This window comes from Homo sapiens, chromosome 1 (genome assembly GCF_000001405.40).
Source record: "Homo sapiens chromosome 1, GRCh38.p14 Primary Assembly".
Lineage (NCBI taxonomy): Eukaryota > Metazoa > Chordata > Mammalia > Primates > Hominidae > Homo > Homo sapiens.
The window spans coordinates 226404274-226424105 of NC_000001.11; the positions used below are offsets into that span (position 1 = coordinate 226404274).

Here is a 19832-nt window from a genome sequence, read left to right on the forward strand (position 1 = left end):
CATTTCTGAGAGCATACTCATGTTCCAACTCTCAAACGTTCCACCAGATCTCAATTAGGCTGCTGATACAGATCCCTAAGCATCTGGCTATCATGGAATATTTGCAATGGCCTCGACCTGGCTCTGCCTGCTTGTCTACCCCTTGTCTACCCTTCCTGTGCAATGTTCCAGTTACCCTTGTATAAAGAGCACAGGTAATGGCTATGGCACTTCTTCCTGGCTCTGCCAGGGGCCCCAGACCTGCTGCCCTTTGGTCTGGGTGCTGTCTCCCCCAACCACCGGCACAGTGCTGGACACCCTGGAGGTGCTGCCCAATGGTGCAATCACAGCACAAGCTTAGAGGACAAGAGCCTCAGCAGAAGCACCCCTGACCAAAGCAATGCTTTGCCCTAAACTCAGGACTGAGAATGATGTGGCAGAAAGGCACCAAACCAAGGTCACAAGACTATCGACTCCATTTGTTAGCTGCACAGCTGAGGCAAGGCACAGAATCTTTGGCTGTGCACCCAAGCAAAAACTGAGCACCTAACATACCAGGGTCCTCACCCAACCAGCAGCTGGTGAACTGGGTTCCCTTCTGTGCAGAACAGGCCATGCTACCTGTCCACCTAGGCCACAGAGAGAATGAACTGACCTCACTGCATGCCTCCGGGTGCTCAAACCCTCCCAGGACAGAGCAACTCAAAGGTCTACCGCCATCCTCCTCCCACCAAAATGCTGGAGGGCCCAGCTCATCCCTCCCAAGATGCCCCAGGCATGAGGGCTAAAGTGTCAGGTATCAGATACTCAGAGAACAATACTCCCATGTAAATGTAAAAGAAGGTATTTAAATTCAAGCAAGTGAAAAGGCTTCTTTCTTTTTGGCCTTCACCAGCTCAGTCTACCAGACCAACTTTAAATTCTGAATTAAAACTCTGAATCCACCCTTAATCACCATTACATAAAAATCACAGTTACTTTTAATAATAAAGAGTTTCTTTCACTATCAAGTATACCAAAGGAAAGCCCAGAATGTTGTTATTACTATTTTTTTTTTCAGACAGGGTCTGGGTCTGGGTCTGGGTCTGTCGCCCAGGCTGGAGTGCAGTGGCACTATCTCAGCTCACTGCAACCTCCACCTCCCAGGCTCAAGCAATCTTCCAGCTTCAGCCTCCGGAGTAGCTGGGACTTAACAGGCACGCACCACCACGACCCGCTAATCATTGCATTTTTTTGTAGAGACAGGTTTCACCATGTTGGCCAGGCTGGTCTCAAACTGCTGAGCTTAAGTAATCTGCCCACCCCAGCCTCCCAAAGTGCTGAGATTACAAGCATGCGCCACCAAGCCCGGCCCCAGAATGCTAAACTTGATCAGGTTCAGTTTCCTCCATCCGGCCTCCCCCACAGCTAAGCCTCCTCTAACTTCCTCCACAGCGGTGTTGTTCTAGCCTCAACACAGTCTGGACTTGGGTTTTGTTTGTCTTTCCACCAGAACACGGTACTCTGCCCACCTGTTAAGGCGCCTGGATGTCCCTTTCTCAGAATAACATTTAAAAATGCGTAATAAAAAGGCTCGCAAATGGCCAGTCACGGTGGCTCATGCCTGTAACCCTAGCACTTTGTGGGGCCGAGGTGCATGGATCGCTTGAGCTCAGGAGTTTGAGACCAGCCTGGGCAACATAGTGAGACCCCATCTCAAAAAACAAAACAAACAAAAAGGCTCGAAAAGGAAACACTGAGATAATTATCAAAACATTTGAAAGGTAATTTGGGTACAGTAACCCGTGAGCTTTTAAGCATTAAATAACAAGATCTAGTACAGCCTCTAATAACTGTGATTTTTGTAGCAATGAGAGTAAATTATATTTTGAAAAACTTCCAACTGTAAAGTGATATGAAAATATCTGTAATTATCACTGGTGAAAAAAAAATAGGGACTGCTAATATGCCTTTGCTTTGCTGCTTACATTTATGATTAGAGGAAATAATTTTATCTAGAGGTTAGTGGAGATGGAGATATCAATTTTTTCTTATCTAAACTCATGGACCTCTTGCCTTCTACCTACCATCCCACAGACCCTGGGTTAAGAGCTCCTGCACCAGGAGTGAGAACTTCATAACAGGCTGCCTTGTATATTCAAAGTAAGTTCTAGGTTCCTTAGTGGGCAACAAGGCTCTTCAAATTGTAGGCCCTGTCTACTTCCCTATTCTCATCTTTCTGCTCCACTTCTGTGAATTAACGACTCCTAATCAAGCTTCCACCCTTAGCTGGGTCATCTCGGACTCCTAGGCACACAATGCCTAGAGCACAGCTCCATCAGGTGGCATCCATCCTCTCTTACGGTAACGTTTGTTTACCAGTCATTTCCCGTTTAACCAAACTGGAAATTCCCAAAGGTGGATTCTGTGTCCTTAAAACCTAACAGAGTGCTTAGAACTTAAAAAATGCCTACCAAATAAGCACTGTGTGCCACGTACTGACTTAGGTATGCCCCGAGGACACCAAGATGACAGGCATATTGTGAAATAAGATAACGGAAGTACACCTGGCACTTGGGTATCCACTCGGTAAATGTCGCCCTCCCTTGTACTAAGTACTGAAAATCCACTGAGGGATATCTGGTCATTCCTAAAACACATTACAGCTCATGGAAGGGAGGAAAATCAAGCTACCTTGACCATGAGCACTAAGCTTGGGTAATATGTTGGAAGCGAGGAGGAACAGGGCAGATGAGAACCAGAATTATTAATACAAAGGTAGACATCGGCAAACTGGAAGCTGGAGGCAGGAGCCCCTGGGAAATGACAGGGGCCTTCAAGCCCACCACCTCACAGAAGGCTCAGGAAACCTCAGAAGGGGATTCAATCTATCAAAAAGCCCACATGAGAAACCCCCCTGGAGCCACTCTTACTCAAACCAGACAGCTGCAAATGCACCAAGAGAACGCGTCTGTGAATCTGGAAAATTTGGGGAAAATGTTACTTTAAAGCACAAATTAGGCTCAAAGTGAATGTACTGTACAGAAATGACACCTTTCTGCATAGTTCTGCCTAATTAAAATAAAAAATGAGAGTGAGCGTTTAAATGACGTGTTGAAATGACTGCCAAAAATAGGTTTAACAAAAAAAAAAAAAACCCACATGTCAGTCGCCACCATCCATGTAGAACAAAAACCCTCCAGAACAAGATAGGTCAAAATCAGATTAGCTTAAAGAGACCATGTACAATTCCCCCCCAACCCCTGAGGCGAACGGCAGTAATAAAACACCGCCACCCAGAAAGGAGAAGAGAAGAGGCTCCTCGTTTTCACAAAGCGAAAGGCAACACCAGCTGCAGACTTTATTTCCCGGGCTTTTCCTGCAACATCAGCAAAACCTTCCGGAAGGGTCGGCCGGGCCGCTCGGGAGGAGGGGCGGCCGCGGCCCCATAGGCCCCAAGTGCCGCTCCGAGGGCCCGGGCCCGCTCGCTCCCTGGGCCCGCCCTCCCCCAGCCTTCCCGGACACAGTTAACCCGGGGCGCCGCGTCCCCGCCCCGCCGCCCGCACAGCGGCCCGCACCTGCACCATGATGGCCATCCGGAGCGAGTCCTTGGGGATGCTCTCGCTGCATTTCTTGCAAGAGGCGCGCCCGCTCTTGGCGTACTCGACTCGATAGAGCTTATCCGAAGACTCCGCCATCCTCCCCTAGCTGCCGCCAAAGCTCCGGAAGCCCGACGCCACGACCTAGAAACACGCTGCCGCCTCGCCGCCTCGCGTGCGCTCACCCAGCCGCAGGCGCCTGAGCGGCCAGAGCCGCCACCGAACACGCCGCACCGGCCACCGCCGTTCCCTGATAGATTGCTGATGCCTGGCCGCGGGAACGCCCACGGAACCCGCGTCCACGGGGCGGGGCCGGCGGCGCGCGCGCCCCCTGCCGGCCGGGGGGCGGAGTTTCCCGGGCGCCTGCCGGGTGGAGCTCTGCGGGCCGCTGCCCTGGGGGCCGAGGCGGGGCTTGGGCTGAGCTAGTAGCTCTTTGGAGGACCCGGCGCCACCCCTTTGATTGTTCTGTCCCAGGAAGTCTTACTTGATTTCACAACTAATTTTACCCCCAACCCCTCCCCCTTTTATTTTTGAGACTGAGTCTCACCGCGCTGGAGTGCAGTGCCGCCATCATGGCTCACTGCAGTCTGGAACTCCTGAGCCCAGCGATCCTCCCACCTCAGCCTCCCGAGTAGCTGGGACTACAGGCGCTCACCACAACTGGCTAATTAAAAAAAAATTTTTTTTAGGGACAGGGTCTCGCCAAGTTGGCTAGACTGGTCTCAAACTCCTGCTACAAGTGATCTTCACGCCTCAGCCTCCCGAAGTGCTGGGATCAGGGGCATGAGCTACCACGCCGGCCCCAAACTCTTAAGTGTGTCCTCTCTCCCCTGAGGGCAGCTGGGTCCGGGAAGCGCAGGCCCCCGCCTCGGGAATATAGTTGATTGGCCCGAGGTGGACCCTGCAGTGCTAGGTCCACCCTCCTGGCTTGGACGGGCGTTCTAACCTGCCGTCCACAGACCGTCGGGACAAAATACCAACTGAAACCTAGCATTTCCTTTATTATGAATTTGACTACAAATACCAGGAGTATTAGCAGTACCTGTGACTTTGTGGGCAATAGTCATCACAGACGTTTTCATGTTACTTTACAGTTGTTGGTGATAACTCGAAATATTATTAAGCTCATCACTACTCGAAATTGTGGTAATGACTGCACCTGTTGCTATCAGATATTTTGTGTGTGTGTGTGTGTGTGTGTGTAAAGAAAGAGATGGGGAATCTCTCCATGTTGCCCAGGCTGGTCTTGAACCCCTGGCCTCAAGCAATCCTCCCACCTCGACTTCCCAAATTGCTGGGATTACAGGCATGAGCCACTGCACCTGGCCTAGATCTTGTTGTTTAATATAGAACTATACTTCAAAATATAGTTTATTAAAATTGGTTTCTTTTCTAATCCTATGCATTTTTTTTTTTCATTTCAAAGATTGTAACATGAGTGTGCTTTATTTGAAAATATTCAATTCTGGTATAGAGGATAAGAAAAATAAGCAGATGAATAAAACTCATAAAAAGTGTTAACCATAGAGAAGAAGCTAGTGGCTTAAGAGACAAGGATGTTGAGTAAGCAAGAAGGTTGTGAGACATAGGCCGAATCCTAAAAGTTAGTAACCAGTTAGATACGTTGAAGGTAGGCTGGGCACAGTGGCTCATGCCTATAATCCTAGCACTTTGGGAGGCTGAGGTGGCCGGATCCCTTGAGCCCAGGAGTTCAAGACCAGCCTGGACAACATGGCAAAACCTTGTCTCTACAAAAATTAGCTGGGGGTGGTGGCAGGTGCCTGTAGTCCCATCTACTCGGGAGGCTGAAGTGGGAGGATCACCTGAGCCCTGAAGGTTGAGGCTGTGGTGAGCCATGATAGTGCCACTGGACTCTAGCCTGGGTGACAGTGTGACCCTGTCTCAAAAAAAAAAAAAAAAGATATTTTGAAGGTAAACAGAATAAGTGGAAAATATGATGGAACAAATAAAAGTTTTACTTAGAGAATGACCAAGTCAAAAGGCATGATCATGCCATCTCTGGGTTGACAACTATATCATCCCTAAATGGCCACTCATTGGTGATAAGATTATGGTCCCATCCTGGCACCCATATGCTCTGCCCCAAAAATGCAGCTAAAGTTCAGGTCTGTTCAGCAGGCTGATTGGTGAGCTGCAGCTGTGGCTGAGTGTGCTTGCACTTGTGTCTCTCTGATAGTGCAGTGTGAGTTGCTCCAGGTACCCTCTGTTGAGCCGCCTTGAGCATCCTCAACTCTGTCAGTGGGACAGGCTGATGCGGCAGAGAGAGGGAAAACATATCAATATTAGCCAGGTGCAGTGGCTCATGCCTGTAATCCCAGCGCTTTGGGAATCTGAGGCGGGTGGATCACCTAAGGTCAGGAGTTCAAAACCAGCCTGGTCAACATGGTGAAACCCCGTCTCTACTAAGAATACAAAAATTAGCTGGGCATTGTGGTGCGTGCCTGTAATCCCAGCTACTCGGGAGGCTGAGGCATGAGAATCGCTTGAACCCAGGAGGTGGAAGTTGCAGTGAGCCGAGATCACGCCATTGCACTCCAGCCTGGGCAACATAGTGAGACAGTCTCAAAAAAAGAAAAGAAGAGAAAAGGGGAGGGGAGGGGAGGATGGGAGGGGAGGGGAGGATGGGAGAGGAGGGGAGGAGGGGAGGGGAGGGGAGGGGGAAGGGGGGAGGGGTGGGAGGGGAGGGGAGGGGAGGATTCCCTAATTCTAGGTTCTGGTGGTGTGGTCCATCTGCCTCGCCTGTACCCTATCCTGTGTATGTTATGCACCCCATCGAGTTCTTGCTGTAAGTGGTTTTAAACTGATTCAATAAACCCTGCAATTCAAGCATCATAATTTGGTCTGTGAGGCTTTCTGTTTTGTAACTTGTGGGATAGTTTGCCTGATAATGTACCTAGAAGCTACTATTGCATTAAGGTAGGTTCCTCCACAATATTTATTCTGGAAAGGGCTTCATGGACCACCAAAGGGGTCCTAGGCACACACACAAAAGGTTAAGAATTCCTGCCCTAGAACCTAAGGAAAGCCAACTATCACCTACTGCCTTCTCAATATTTCAGTTTGGATGGCTTATATGCATCTCCATTTATGTCCAAAACTACCCTAGTGCTTCCCATCTCAGGAAATGGCCCACCATTCTTTGCATTACTTAGGCCAAATGCTTTGTAGTCAACTTGACTCTTCTCTTTTGTCCCATGTTCAATCCATCCCCGAATTCTAACTTCCTGACTTTGATCCTTTCTCATGGCCCAGCTGCCATCCTTTTTGGTGGCTCTGTATCCCTCACCAGAATGTAAGCTCCATGAGGGCAGGAGCTTGTGTCTGTTTTGTTGCAATAGCCTCAGTGCCTGGAACAGTGTCAGGCACTCACCAATATTTGTTGAATGAATGACTGAATCCCACAGTTGGCCCTCCCTTCGCACAGGCCAACAGTTTAATTAATAATGTTACTTCACATTTGTATATAACTAACTTATACTGTGCCTTAAATTTGAAATTCCCATGCTGATTTATAACCCCTATAGTATACCAGGCAAAGTTGGTGGCTATACAAAATACCACCAGGACAGGGTTGTCTGAAGAATTACTTGATAATTCTTGTTAATAATACAAAAACAGAAAAAGAACGCCATCATGCAGTTTACAAATAAATCTTAGGTGGCTTTACATTTCAATTTTTTTCTTTAAAAGGAATGAGCTGTGTCCAGGTAGGTTAAATGCTTTATAGACAAGAGAAAAAAAAAAAAGCTGCCATAGAACCACCTTATTTGTCATTATCATCGACTTCATTTTTTATTTTCCTTACCTTCTCTGTCTTTCTCCGCTTTGTTTTTTTTTCTTGCCTTTTTCGGCCTTGACAGCATCATTTTTGCCACATCAGCTTTCCTTTGGCTGGATATGCAGCATTCTGCTCTTGGTACTTTTCCTTCAGTTGAGAAGCCTTCTTTTTGGGCTGCTTGCCATCTGCAGCATGGTCACTCATGTCCCTCCCAGGTTCTTGGCATCACTGCCAGTGGACAGACCGGGATCTCCTTTGATTTGAGGGCAGTACTCAGAACACAAAGTGAAAGCCCAAAGGAGGCCTTTCGGGTGCATTAGAATCTCTGAATTTCTGTTTTACTTCTCTTTTAGGAGGGATATCAGTTTTCATTTCTTTTTCATAAAGGGCCTTGAATACTTTTGGCCATGCCTCCAATTTCCTTCTCTTTAGCAAGTAAGGTTTTCCACCTTTCTGAACATGTTAATGAACATTCTGAGAAGATGAATGAAGTGTCTGGTTGCTTCTCCTGTATCCTGGCAAGCGTGCGCAGAATGCCCGTGATGACATTTTGTCCCTGGGATCATTGGGCTCTCCTTCGCCCATGTTTAGTTATTTTTGCTCAGTGAGGCACAGAATCACTCAGTGTCCACTTGGCCCTCACTTACCTTGGCAGTGTCTCTAGGTAAGGAGTTCTAGATCAGCCTGGACAACATAGCACGACCCTGTCTCCACACACACAAAAAAGTAAATAAACTCACAACAAACATTTGGTGTAAGGTATGGGTCCAGCTACATTCTTCTGCATGTGGAGATCCACCATCTGTGGAAGAGACTGTCCTTTTCCCACTGAATGATCTTGGCACCCTTGTTGAAATCATTTAACCATATATGTTGAGGGTTTATTTTTGGGCTCTCTATTCTGTTCCATTGGTCTATATGTTTGTCTTTATTCCAACGCCACATCATAGTAAGTTTTGAAATCAGAAAGTGTGAGACCTCCAACTTTATCTTTATTTTACAAAGTTGATTTGTCTTGGTTTGGTTTTATATTTTGTCAAGATTGATCAGGAGTGGAAAGAAGAGATGGTGGCTCGTGCCTGTAATCCCAGCACTTTGGGAGGCCAAGGCAGGCGGATCACAAGGTCAGGAGTTTGAGACCAGCCTGACTAACACGGTGAAACCCTGTCTCTACTAAAAATACAAAACAATTAGCTGGGCATGGTGGTGCATGCCTATAATCCCAGCTACTCAGGAGGCTGAGGCAGGAGAATCCCTTGATCTTGGGAGGCAGAGGTTGCAGTGAGCCGAGATTGCACCACTGCACTCTAGCCTGGTCGACAGACCAAGACTGTCTCAAAAAGAAAAAAAAGAAAGAAGAGAGACACACAATTCTGACTGCTGGTGTATGTGTGTGTGGTGGTGGGGTGGGGGGGATGTCTAAAGCCCCACACCAGGGATTTCCTGTTAAGCAGGTGAGGCAGAAGTTGCACAGAGGAGCTGGGCTCCCATTTCACACCTAGAGACAAGGGAGATGGGAGTGCAGGCTAGCCTATGTCTGGGAAGAAGGCAGGGACAGATTTCCGTGGACAACTAGCAGTGTCTGCCACAGTTGTATCTTACATTATTCTTCTTCCTCAGGACTAAATGGCCCTGCAATCCAAAAAATCAGATCTTCAGATGTGGGGACACTTTTTTTTTTTCTATCATTGATTTGACTACTTGCTTTGCTTCATTTTTAGAAATACCCTCCCAATTTCATAATGTTCTGTTTATCTCTTTAACTTTTGGCGAGTTAATGAGAAGCTGTCTCAGCTTAATTTCTTGGGTCACTGACAAAAGCTTCTGCTGTGTCCATCTTTCATTAGATTAACAAATTTTAGCCATTACATGTTTTACTTTCCAGTATCTTGAGCTGATGTTTAATGAATGTAATATAGTCTAGAAGTTATTGCTCTCTTAATGATATGTCTTTAATTTTTAGGTTTTGTCAGTTCTGCTGAGTTTGGTGTAGTAAGACCCTTCCATAATGTCGTGTTCCAAAACACAAATGGTAAGATGTGGGGTTGTGTAATTGTGAGGTTAGTGAGAAGATTGCTCTGAGCCTCCAACTATAGCTGGTTCTCAGGATGTGGCTGTGGGTCCAAATTCATCCTGGTCATGGCTGTGGTTTGATACTCCCGGGTAGCAATTTTCCACCCCAGCTTACATATTGATGGGTTCAATTTGGGGTCTTGTGGCTTCCTGGGACTTATGGAGAGCAGCAGCGTTTTCAGGAGTCTCCCCTGTTTGTGGCCTGATCCAGGGAGAGTAGATCTGGAGAATCTTTGGGACAAGAAGGACCGTACCACTTCCTCCCACTTCTGAAGAGGGTCACGTGTTATTTCCCTACCTGGTTGTGCTCTCTTCCATGCTCTCCTCCCTTATCCCCTTATCGCATGACACGATTTATCTTGCTCCTATTTGAAAATGAGGTGTGGGGGAAGAAGGACGCCATCACCAGTCACCGTAACACTGAATCCGAGCTCACTGCGTTTATTGTAGGTGTCTTTCACAGTGTTGACGGTCTTCAACAATTCAGTGGTTCTTGCTTATCTGCTCATTTGTGTATTTGAGACGATCTTGATACCTATCTCCTGCTTTCTTTCCACAGCTACGTCTGGTGACTTTGTGTGTGGGGAGGTGAGGGTGGGTGTGTGCCCCTGCGATGGGGGTGCCAGTGGGTTGTCTCTGGCTGTGGGAGTTCCATCTTCCCCAGGGGTTGGTAGCAGCCTGGAGCCACAGAGCCTCCCTCATCCCCACACTGGCTGTGCCCACACCACCTTGACAGATGCCAGGACCCCCTCCTCCTTGCCTGGGTTTGCAGTTTCCTTACTCGCTCCTGGCTCGGCAGCAGGCCCCTCCTCGGCTGCTATCTGGGAGTCTCCCACATGCACCTAATCCTGTGTGCTGTCCATCCTGCAGGGCTTCCTGATATATAGGTCCACTGCAGATTGTGAGGCCTGTGATTCCATCCTTGGGCCTCACAGGGCCTAACATGAATTCCCAGGCACTAACTAGATATTTCCCCACCCAGCAGGAAAGGCTCCCCGCCAGCCGGTTCCCCAGTCAACTGGATCAGCTGTACCCTACCTACCTAGACCCCAACTTAATGGATTTCACCTTCCTGCCAGCTGGGCAAAAGATTCAAACAAGCCAATTGCATCCTCATGTGGGATCCAAGGGTCACCCCACCATCTTGTCACTACAAAGCCTGCCTCCCACAGTCCCTGCTGGCTCACTCTGCTCCCCACGGCAGCCCCTATGTGGCCCTGCAGGGTGGGCGGTGTCCTTCTCCCCCAGACTCTGAGCAATAAGCTGCTGCCAGCCTCTTCTGTCCAGTGTCAGGTACCATGTCCTTGACCATCACATGCTATTGAGGGCGGGAGATCCCTCCTCCACCAATGGGGTGAATAGGAAGTGATCCAAAAGCACTGATGGCACACTGCTGTATGCTTTTCCTGTTCTATTAGGGATACATTAGTTTACTTTAAGATACTTCTTCTCTGACTTCATGGGATTTGGGACATGAGGGGTGTTAAATGACATGTGCTCAGTCTATCTTCCCATAAATTACTTGGTTTTAAAAAAAAAATTAGATTGTTTCGGTTGTTTCCTTTTTTTTCTTCTTTTTCTGTTAAAAAACGTGAAAAATAGGCCGGGCACAGTGACTCACGCCTGTAATCCCAGCACTTTGGGAGGCCGAGGTGGGAAGATCACCTGAGATCAGGAGTTGGAGACCAGCCTGGCCAACATGGTAAAACCCCGTCTCTACTAAAAATACAAAAATTAGCCAGACGTAGTGGCCCACCCCTGTATTCCCAACTACTCTAGAGGCTGAGGCAGGAGAATTGCTTGAACCTGGGAGGTGGAGGTTGCAGTGAGCTGAGATCACACCACTGCACTCCAGCCTGGGTGACAGAGCGAGACTCTGTCTCACAAAAAAAAAAAAAAAAGTGAAAAATAATGCTGTCATTTTCACCCTTCTACATTTGTCTTTGTATACCTTTACTATGATTTCTTTGAGATGGATTCCTAGAAGCTGGGTTGCTGATGAGGTGTGTACATTTAAAATCTTTAGAGATTCTGGCAAATTGCCCTTTGGAAACGCTGTACCCGTTTATACATCCACCAGCAACACACCTGGGATTATAGGTGTGAGACTAACAATATCCACAGCTGTGAACATATGTGGAAATGCACAATCCTTTGAATTTTGAGAAGTAAATGGTTTTCTGCTTTTATTTTATTGTATTTCATTTTATTTAGACAGAGTCTCACTCTGTTGCCCAGGCTGAAGTGCAGCGGTGTGATCTCGGCTCACTGCAACGTCCACCTCCCACATACAAGCAATTCTCCTGCCTCAGCCTCCTGAGTAGCTGGAATTACAGGTGCGCGCCACTACGCCCGGCCTGTTTTATTTTTTTTGAGACAGGTTCTCACTTTGTCGCTCAGCCTGGAGTGCAGTGGTGCCATGGTGGCTCACTGCAGCCTTGACCTTGAGGACTCAAGCGATCCTCCCGCCTCAGCCCCCCAAATAGCTGGGACTAATTTTTGTATTTTTTGTAGAGATGAGACTTCGCCATGTTGCCCAGCTGGTCTGGAACTCCTTGACTCAAGTGATCCGCCCACCTTGGCCTCTAAAAGTGCTGCTGATATTACAGGCATGAGCCACTGTGTCTGGCCGATTTTCTAATTTTATTTGTAATGATGTTTTTGAAGAATAACATACATACAGTGACATGTGTGTACCTGGAGTGTACAGTTTGATGAATTTTTTACTGAGGGATTCACCTCTATGACCACAAGCCAGGTCAGAGTGTAGAACACTCCCAGCTCTTCCCCAGCCACAGTTCTGACTTCTATTGTTATAGTTTTGCTTTTGAGCTTTTTTATAAGTGGAATTATATACTATGTGATCTTTTGTACTTGACTGCTTTTACTCAACATTATGAATGTGAGGGTCACCCATATGGTTTCGTGTGGGTGCACTTTGTTCATTCTCATTGCTATGTACTATTTCATTGGGTGACCAGTCATCAGTTTACTTTCCATTCTTTTGCTGATGGAGGTTTGGGCTGTTTTTATTTTTTGGGGGCCATTTCAAGTTTTTTTGCTATCCACTTGAAGGTACATACCTTTTGGTTCACCTTCATATCAGTTTCGGTTAGATGTTTATTTGGGAGTGGGATTACCAAGTCATAGGGTTTGCATATGTTTAGCTTTGGTAGATTCTGCCAAAGAGTTTTCCAAGATGGTTGTATCAAGTCACACCTTCAAGAGCAATATATGAGAGTTCTAGTTGTTCCACAGTTGATACTTAATATTGTTGTATTATCAATTATTTATTTATTTAGAGACAAGGTCTCAGTCTGTCACCTAGGCTGAATGCAGTAGTGCAGTCATAGCTCACTGCAGCCTCAAATTCCTGGGTTCAAGTGATTCTCCTGCCCCAGGCTCCTGAGGAGCTGGGACTACAGGTGCACACTATCATACCCAGCTAGTTTTTTTTTTTTACTCTAGAGATGAGGTCTTACTCTGTTGCCTGGGTTGGTCTCAATCTTCTGGCCTCAGGCAATCCTCCCGTCTTGGCCTCCCAAAGCAGTGGGATTACAGGTGTGAGCCACCATGCCTGGGCTGTATTATCAGTTTTTAATGTGTGTTTTCTTTTTTGAAATGTTTTTTAGACAAACATCCTCAGGGTGTGGTTTTTGGATGGGGGGAATTTGCAGCGTCTCCTTCCCTCAATTATGTTTTTTTTGGGAAGGACAGTGTCTTACTCTGCCCCCCAGGCTAGAGTGCAGTGGCGTGATCTCAGCTCACTGCAACCTCAGCCTCCTGGGCTCAAGTGATCCTCCCACCTTAGCCTCCAGAGTAGTTGGGACTACAGGCTCGTGCCACCACGCTTGGCTAATTTTTTCGCCATGTTGGCCAGGTAGACCTTCTGGACTCAAGCAATCCCCCCTCCTTGGCCTCCCGAAGTTCTGGAATTACAGGCATAAGCCACCATAATATTTTTATTTATGTAGATTTTGGTTGGCAATAAGGTTGAATATCTTTTTATGTTTCATTGGCTGTTGCAATTTCTTCTGCTGTGAATTTCCTGTATCACCTTGTGCCCATTAAAAATAATTCCCAATGTTGTTTGCTTTAAGCTTCACAGTCTTTTTAAAAAAGTGATATAAACATGTCTTACTTTATTTCCCTTGTTTGCTCTTAACTTCCAAATGCTCTTTAACATGCATTATGTTGCCTGGTTTATTAAAAGAGTGAGACTAGAGAAAAAAGATGTTCTCGCACGATGAAGGAAGAAAGAAATGCTTAAGGGAGCCTGTGGTGGGTGGATTGAAGCCAGAGGCCTGTGAGGTGTGAGAGGCAGAGGGGGCTTGGTTTCCATGGCTGCCTCTACCACATACTGCCTCCTCTTCTTTTCTTTTTTTCCTTTTTAAAAAAAACCACAATGTAAACAGCCTTGTCTATTTTTCTGATTATATAAATAATGCACAAAGTCTGTGAAAACAAGACAAAACCACACTCTTTTGAAGTATAAAGAAGAACATCTAACACCTGCAATCCGACCCCCTTAACACTTTGGTGACTACCCCAGAAGGCAGGCATCCTGCAGGCAGGAGCCCTGGGTCTCATTCTCATTCTTTACTGTAACCCTCAAGCCAGGAGCAGAGCTTGGCATAAACATGACCTCATGGATGACCCCAGGGCTCTCCCCTTGCTTTGATGACTGCTTCCCAAGCCTCTGCAAGGGAGAGATGTATGGTTTGCACTAAAGGAGCATCTTGGGCACAAAGCCCTCCTGGGGCTCAGGGTGGAGGAAAGGGTATAGCCATGAGATTCTTTTTTTTTTTTTTTTGAGACGGAGTTTTACTCTTGTCACCCAAGCTGGAGTGCAATGGCGTGATCTTGGCTCACTGCAACCTCTGCCTCCTGGTTCAAGCGATTCTCTTGCCTCAGCCTCCAGAGCAGCTGGGACTATAGGCGCCCGCCACCACGCCCAGCGAATTTTTGTATTTTTAGTGGAGAGATGAGGTTTCACCACGTTGGCCAGGCTGTCTCAAACTCCTGACCTCAGATGATCAGCCCGCCTTGGCCTCCCAAACTGCTGGGATTACAGGTGTGAGCCACCATGCCTGGCTCTTTTTAAGTGATTGACAATACTTGAACATAGATCTGTTCCAAAGGGACAGCTGGGACAGGCTTCTTAGAAAAAACAGCCTCTCCAGAGAAGAAATAAACAATACATTAATTAAAGGCAACCCTCTGTAACAGTCCTTACCATGACAATTACATTTCCTTATTCCATTAGAAATTCTTTGAGGACTGACACTTTCTGCTCGAGAGTCTTACTCATTTTATATCCCCACTGCCTGGTGAATGAATGTATAAATGAGAAAATGAATGAACAGCACAGCCCTCCTACTTGGCAATATAGGTTAAGTTTTAACATGTGAAGTCTTTTGTATTCTTAACACTTAGCCTAGTACCTGGCACAGGTACTAGGTTGGTACTTAGTAAACATTTGTTGAGTGAATGAATGAATGATTGAATATGTATATAAATATGTCAAACCAATTTTTTGGACTTGCCTTTAAAAAAGTCAGGGCAAGTCCATTAGGGCATGATGAAAGGCAGAGCCCACTGGGTGGCATTGAGTTAATTCAGTTCAGCTGATGCTGGTTGACTTTGCCACGTGCAGAGCGCTCTGCCTGGCACCACCGCCGCAATTCTGCCCACGTAGACCAGTTCTACTGAGTACATTTCTCACCGAGCAAATAAGCCCAGTTATTTTAAAACATGAGGCCAGCATACAGAAACTCGCAATTGCCTCCAAAAATTATGTTCCCTCCAAGCCCACGCAATTGTCCTGGATGCTGATTTTCTGTCAAGAATGGGGCTTTGTTGTGATGGAATGAGACACCCTGGAAATAAATGCCAGGAGACCACAGCTTGATCTGTAGGGCTGGGGCTGATGTGGGAGCCTCGGCGGCCACAGCCAGCTGACTTCTCAAATGACAGCAAAGTCATGAGAAATGTAGATTTTTTAATTTCCTTGATTATAGTTTGAGAACCTTTGTCCTTGTTTTCTTAATGACTGAGTGGATCTTATTTTACTCCTTTCTTCTTTTAAACACACCATAAAGGAGGAAAGGAAAGAAAATAAAGCTACAGATAGTTTACCAATCCAAGAGGGAAATAGCTTCAAGAAACCACATTTGCATTACGACCCAGCTGGGCATCTTTGCTTTTATGAAACAGAGCTGCTTTGGAAATTGTTACATAATTCTAACCAGAGTGCAGATTTCCTGACCATATTTACACAGAAACTTTTTTCAATTGTTATGATTTATTTTTCAATAACTCTTCTTTAAAAAAAATAGCATCAAAATTCCATGATTCTTCTTTCTCTACAATTTCAGGGGGCAGAAAATTCAGCTAGAACTAAACACAAATAATTTAATGTTTTAAGATTTGATTTTTTTGAATTACAGTAGAACCCTATTGTGGTAGGATTTGTTATCTGACATATTGAAAAATAATTGAGTTGAATTTAGTTCTCTAGTATACAATTACATGTGCCAAAATCCTCAGACTTTTTTTTTTTTTTTTTGAGACGGTATTGCTCTGTTGCCCATGCTGAAGTGCAGTGGTGTGGTCAATAGCTCACTGTAGCCTCTAACTCCTGGGCTCAAGTGATACTCCTACCTTGGCCTCCCAAGGCGCTGAGATTACAGGCATGAGCCACTGCTCCTGGCCCAAAACCCCCAGACTTTTAAAACAGTGACGGTTTGTGGAGACACACCTGGTCTGCTAGATTTACAGCTGAGGCCAGAGGTAATTGCTTTTCCAAAGGTCACCCAAGGCCTATGCCTTCCTCACACTGGCCCAGCAGAGACAATTAATTTATGAGTTGAGGGCTAGTGTTCTGGAAAGAGGCATTCCATAATCGTGAGACGGTAAATGGGTAGGGATCTAAGGAGGTAGCCACGAGCAAGCCTGTGATGATTCCAGCTCAGGAAGCAGGGTTGACCCAAGACAGGGTTGGTCACCTTGATAATACCACAGACAGGCACAAAGCACAAGGCCCCTATTCAGAATCAGCAATGGGACTGTGTCCAGTGGACATGACCCAAGAGGCCCTTCTCTCAAAGCTGACCAGCCAGCTATAGTTAAGAACCCAAGACAGTGCACTGGCATTTGCGCAGAGCTGCCTAATCTAAACTCACAGATTTTCCCCTGCCATGCACTGAATCCTTTTTTTTTTTTTTTTTTTTTTACAATAATCTGCTCACATATCTGGCTTTCCCATCTGTCTTGGTCTGTTTGGGCTGTAATAACACAATACCATAGAACAGGTGGCTTACAAACAACAGAAATTTATTCCTCACAATCTGGAGTCTGGGAAGTCCAAGATCAACGTGCTGGCACATTCAGTGTCTGGTGAGGGCCACTTCCTCATAGATGGCGCCTTCTCACTGTAACCTCACATGATGAAAGGGAAAAAAACTTGTATTTTTCTTGTAGAGATGGGGTTTTGCCATGTTGCCCAGGCTGGTCTGGAGCTCCCAGGCTGAAGCAATCTGCCCATCTCGGCCTCCCAAAGTCCTCAGGTCTCTTTTATATATGGGCATTAATCCTATTCACAAGGGCTATGTCCTCACGGCCAAATCACCTCCCAAAAGCCCCATCTCCAAACTGTCACTTGGGGGTTAGGATTTCAACTTATGAATTTGGGGGTAACATAAACATTCAGTCCATTGTACCCTCTAACCTGTGAATTCCTTTATGACAAAGGCAGTATCTTGCTCATCTTTCAAACCCTAATACCTAACACAGTGATTGGCACAAAAATAACTCAATAAATGCTTGCAAAATAAATGAGCAGTGGCAACTACCCCATGTAGAGCCTAGGGGAGCATAAAATCATAGCCAGCCATTGCTTAATAAATGTGAACTTGATCGTCCTTTCTGAACTGTAATTCCAGCTCTAGGTTTATCCTAGGAAGGCTTTTCCAGGGGCACCAGGAAGACAGGAAGATTGCCAAAATGTTTATAGTAGGATTGTTTATAAGAGCCCCAAATGGAAACAACCCAAATATCTACAAACAGTAGAACAGATAAGTGTATTGTAGTATAGTCATTCAATAGAATACCATATGTCAATGTAAATGAATGAATTACAGCCCACATGTCAATACATGTGAATCTCAAAACACAAGCCTAAGTGAAATGAGTAATTCAGAAAATAATTCATTTAGTGTGGATCCACTTATACAAAATTCAAAGTCAGGAAAAATGAAACAATACTCTGTTTAAAGTTGCATACATATATTGTAATACATTAAAGAAAAGCAAGGAAATGATTAACATACATTTTCAAATAGTGGTTATTTCTGGGGTGATGGAGGGAAATACAACTGGAGAAGAAAATTCAGGGAGCTCTAAACTTATTGGTACTATTCCATTTCTTAAACTTGATGATGAGTACATGACTATATTATTACTAATCTTTAAAAGGGTTATATATAATATTCACATTCATATATTTCATAATAAAAGGGTTTTTTGTTTGTTTGTTTTTTTGAGACAGGGCCTCACTCTGTTGCCCAGGCTAGAGAGCAGTGGCGGGATCTCAGCTCACTGCAGGCTCAACTTCCTGGGCTCAACTGATTCTTCCACCGCAGCCTCCTGAGTAGCTGGGACTACACGCACCCACCAACACACCGGGCTAATTTTTGTATTTTTTTTTTTTTTGTAGAGACGGGGTTACACCATGTTGCCCAGGCTGGTCTCAAACCCCTGGGCTGAAGCAATCCACCTATCTCGGCCTCCCAAAGTGCTGGTATTACAGGCATAAGCCACTGTGCTTGGCCCAATTTCACAATAAAAAGTTTCAAACAACAAACCAAGAGCAGACAAACCCAACGGAAGCTCTCCGCAGCACTTCTGCCCTGGGTCTGTCTTTGGAGGTGGGAAGCAACATGTTGCGAAGCGCAGGGCTCTCGGGCAGTCTGATTGTCCTTGCAGTGAGTGAGTCTGCTGGAGTATGAAGCAGGATCCATTGCACTGTGCCCATCTGCTTGAGGGGTCTGCCTATAGTGTAAGCAAGGGCCATGGAAGGGCAGGTGTCCTTGGTCCAGGGAACAGTGTCTCTCCATAGGATCACTTCTTTCTGGGCATCCTTAAAGGGGAAATAAATTAACAGCCCTACCCTGTAACCGCAAACTATGGTTTCCCAAGGGTCTGTGCCCAGTGGGTGCTGGTGCCCATTAACAGGCAGCTTCTTTGGGGCCACTCATCAACAGGACCTTGTTAAAAGTAAGGATTGAGCCTCTGGGAGATTACAGAGCTAGCCATTCAACAAGTCCAGCTTAGAGTTTTCTCAGAAATTAAGGGAAGAAGAAAGCTTTTGACTAGGTCCCTGACAGATAATCTAGGTCCTCATTCCAGAGTCACACAAGGCATGCTAGTTAAATTGCCCAGGTTGTGAAATCCCAGGAGGACCTGCCTCTTGCTAGCTCTGTGTCTATAAGCAAAGTTCTTCATCTCTCTAGGCCCATCTGCTCACCTGTAAAATGGAGATAATAGTAGTATGTACCTAGGAGGCCAATGTGAAGATTAAGAAAGATAATGCATGTTAAGACTCTAGTGAGGCCCACAGAGGAAGCTCCATAAATATTTGATATTAAATGAATGCCCTCTGGTCAAGACTTGCCAGCCTGAGAAGAGGCCATGCTCTGAGCACTCACATTCTCGAGATGTAATTGTGATGGTGACAAGATGGCCATTCCACAGGGAGGCCAGTTGACTGGTGCTCAAGGAATGACCAGGTGGCCTGACCTTGATGGGCTCACCATGTTCTAGGGTCTGACACTGAGCTTTCTTAGTCTCGTAACTCAATTTTGTCCACGTATCCAGAAGGAATCCATTGGGAACCCATTGGGAGACTGATATGAAAATCAGGACACCAATTTATTAATTTACCATGGGAAATAGCAGTGCTTGGGGGCCAAGTGTGGTGGCTCACAGATGTCATCCCAACACTTTGGGAGGCCGAGGCAGGGGGATTGCTTGAGGCCAGGCATTCGAGACCAGCATGGGAAACACAGAGAGACCCTGTCTCGACAAAAACAATTTTTTTTTTCTGAGGCAGGGTCTCGCTCTGTTGCCCAGGCTGGAGTGCAGTGGCATGATCTTGGCTGACTGCAGCCTCCTCCTGTCAGGCTCAACTGATCCTCCCACCTCAGCCTCCCAAGTAGTTGAGGCTACAGGCGTGCGCAGGATGCTACAAGCATGCCAGGATAATTTTTGAATTTTTTGTATAGATGGGGTTTCGCCATGTTGCCCAGGCTGGTCTTGAACTCCTGGGGTCAAGCAATCCCCTTGGCTTGCCCTCCCAAAGTGCTGAGATTACAGATGTGGGCTACCACACCCAACCATTCTAC

At 46.2% G+C, this 19832-nt stretch overlaps 1 protein-coding gene across 1 annotated transcript in view, besides 17 other annotated features; it reads right to left on the reverse strand.

The window, feature by feature from the left end:
* The window catches only part of PARP1 (poly(ADP-ribose) polymerase 1), a 47403-nt gene extending 43583 nt beyond the window's left edge, over nt 1-3820 (reverse strand). The window contains exon 1 of the mRNA NM_001618.4: nt 3537-3820. Coding sequence (NP_001609.2) covers nt 3537-3656 — 120 coding nt within the window. The 5' untranslated portion in view covers nt 3657-3820. The remainder of the gene's footprint in view (nt 1-3536) is intronic.
* Nucleotides 2385-2444: an enhancer, noted in NCBI's record as "active region_2651". NCBI's record gives its function as "activates an Ori minimal core promoter by ATAC-STARR-seq in GM12878 lymphoblastoid cells {active_cell/tissue: GM12878}" and the evidence as "EXISTENCE:reporter gene assay evidence [ECO:0000049][PMID:35858748]".
* Nucleotides 3395-3494: a silencer, noted in NCBI's record as "silent region_1883". NCBI's record gives its function as "represses an Ori minimal core promoter by ATAC-STARR-seq in GM12878 lymphoblastoid cells {active_cell/tissue: GM12878}" and the evidence as "EXISTENCE:reporter gene assay evidence [ECO:0000049][PMID:35858748]".
* Nucleotides 3745-4004: a silencer, noted in NCBI's record as "silent region_1884". NCBI's record gives its function as "represses an Ori minimal core promoter by ATAC-STARR-seq in GM12878 lymphoblastoid cells {active_cell/tissue: GM12878}" and the evidence as "EXISTENCE:reporter gene assay evidence [ECO:0000049][PMID:35858748]".
* Nucleotides 4035-4164: an enhancer, noted in NCBI's record as "active region_2652". NCBI's record gives its function as "activates an Ori minimal core promoter by ATAC-STARR-seq in GM12878 lymphoblastoid cells {active_cell/tissue: GM12878}" and the evidence as "EXISTENCE:reporter gene assay evidence [ECO:0000049][PMID:35858748]".
* Nucleotides 4343-4487: an enhancer, noted in NCBI's record as "145 bp 1:226596389 sequence used in MPRA reporter constructs". NCBI's record gives its function as "activates a minimal TATA-containing promoter with rs1341336 allelic activity by MPRAs in C283T melanocytes {active_cell/tissue: C283T}" and the evidence as "EXISTENCE:reporter gene assay evidence [ECO:0000049][PMID:36423637]".
* Nucleotide 4415: a transcriptional cis regulatory region, noted in NCBI's record as "rs1341336 or 1:226596389 MPRA-significant variant associated with a GWAS melanoma risk locus at 1q42.12". NCBI's record gives its function as "allelic transcriptional activity by MPRAs in C283T melanocytes {active_cell/tissue: C283T}" and the evidence as "EXISTENCE:reporter gene assay evidence [ECO:0000049][PMID:36423637]".
* Nucleotides 6606-6750: an enhancer, noted in NCBI's record as "145 bp 1:226598652 sequence used in MPRA reporter constructs". NCBI's record gives its function as "activates a minimal TATA-containing promoter with rs1104893 allelic activity by MPRAs in C283T melanocytes {active_cell/tissue: C283T}" and the evidence as "EXISTENCE:reporter gene assay evidence [ECO:0000049][PMID:36423637]".
* Nucleotide 6678: a transcriptional cis regulatory region, noted in NCBI's record as "rs1104893 or 1:226598652 MPRA-significant variant associated with a GWAS melanoma risk locus at 1q42.12". NCBI's record gives its function as "allelic transcriptional activity by MPRAs in C283T melanocytes {active_cell/tissue: C283T}" and the evidence as "EXISTENCE:reporter gene assay evidence [ECO:0000049][PMID:36423637]".
* Nucleotides 10240-10384: an enhancer, noted in NCBI's record as "145 bp 1:226602286 sequence used in MPRA reporter constructs". NCBI's record gives its function as "activates a minimal TATA-containing promoter with rs1865220 allelic activity by MPRAs in C283T melanocytes {active_cell/tissue: C283T}" and the evidence as "EXISTENCE:reporter gene assay evidence [ECO:0000049][PMID:36423637]".
* Nucleotide 10312: a transcriptional cis regulatory region, noted in NCBI's record as "rs1865220 or 1:226602286 MPRA-significant variant associated with a GWAS melanoma risk locus at 1q42.12". NCBI's record gives its function as "allelic transcriptional activity by MPRAs in C283T melanocytes {active_cell/tissue: C283T}" and the evidence as "EXISTENCE:reporter gene assay evidence [ECO:0000049][PMID:36423637]".
* Nucleotides 10510-10654: an enhancer, noted in NCBI's record as "145 bp 1:226602556 sequence used in MPRA reporter constructs". NCBI's record gives its function as "activates a minimal TATA-containing promoter with rs2695235 allelic activity by MPRAs in C283T melanocytes and UACC903 melanoma cells {active_cell/tissue: C283T | UACC903}" and the evidence as "EXISTENCE:reporter gene assay evidence [ECO:0000049][PMID:36423637]".
* Nucleotide 10582: a transcriptional cis regulatory region, noted in NCBI's record as "rs2695235 or 1:226602556 MPRA-significant variant associated with a GWAS melanoma risk locus at 1q42.12". NCBI's record gives its function as "allelic transcriptional activity by MPRAs in C283T melanocytes and UACC903 melanoma cells {active_cell/tissue: C283T | UACC903}" and the evidence as "EXISTENCE:reporter gene assay evidence [ECO:0000049][PMID:36423637]".
* Nucleotides 11851-11995: an enhancer, noted in NCBI's record as "145 bp 1:226603897 sequence used in MPRA reporter constructs". NCBI's record gives its function as "activates a minimal TATA-containing promoter with rs9426568 allelic activity by MPRAs in C283T melanocytes {active_cell/tissue: C283T}" and the evidence as "EXISTENCE:reporter gene assay evidence [ECO:0000049][PMID:36423637]".
* Nucleotide 11923: a transcriptional cis regulatory region, noted in NCBI's record as "rs9426568 or 1:226603897 MPRA-significant variant associated with a GWAS melanoma risk locus at 1q42.12". NCBI's record gives its function as "allelic transcriptional activity by MPRAs in C283T melanocytes {active_cell/tissue: C283T}" and the evidence as "EXISTENCE:reporter gene assay evidence [ECO:0000049][PMID:36423637]".
* Nucleotides 13181-13325: an enhancer, noted in NCBI's record as "145 bp 1:226605227 sequence used in MPRA reporter constructs". NCBI's record gives its function as "activates a minimal TATA-containing promoter with rs2695239 allelic activity by MPRAs in C283T melanocytes {active_cell/tissue: C283T}" and the evidence as "EXISTENCE:reporter gene assay evidence [ECO:0000049][PMID:36423637]".
* Nucleotide 13253: a transcriptional cis regulatory region, noted in NCBI's record as "rs2695239 or 1:226605227 MPRA-significant variant associated with a GWAS melanoma risk locus at 1q42.12". NCBI's record gives its function as "allelic transcriptional activity by MPRAs in C283T melanocytes {active_cell/tissue: C283T}" and the evidence as "EXISTENCE:reporter gene assay evidence [ECO:0000049][PMID:36423637]".
* Nucleotides 13867-14418: an enhancer, noted in NCBI's record as "NANOG hESC enhancer chr1:226605841-226606392 (GRCh37/hg19 assembly coordinates)". NCBI's record gives its function as "activates a minimal SCP1, AML or CMV promoter by ChIP-STARR-seq in naive H9 embryonic stem cells {active_cell/tissue: H9 hESC(naive)}" and the evidence as "EXISTENCE:reporter gene assay evidence [ECO:0000049][PMID:30033119]".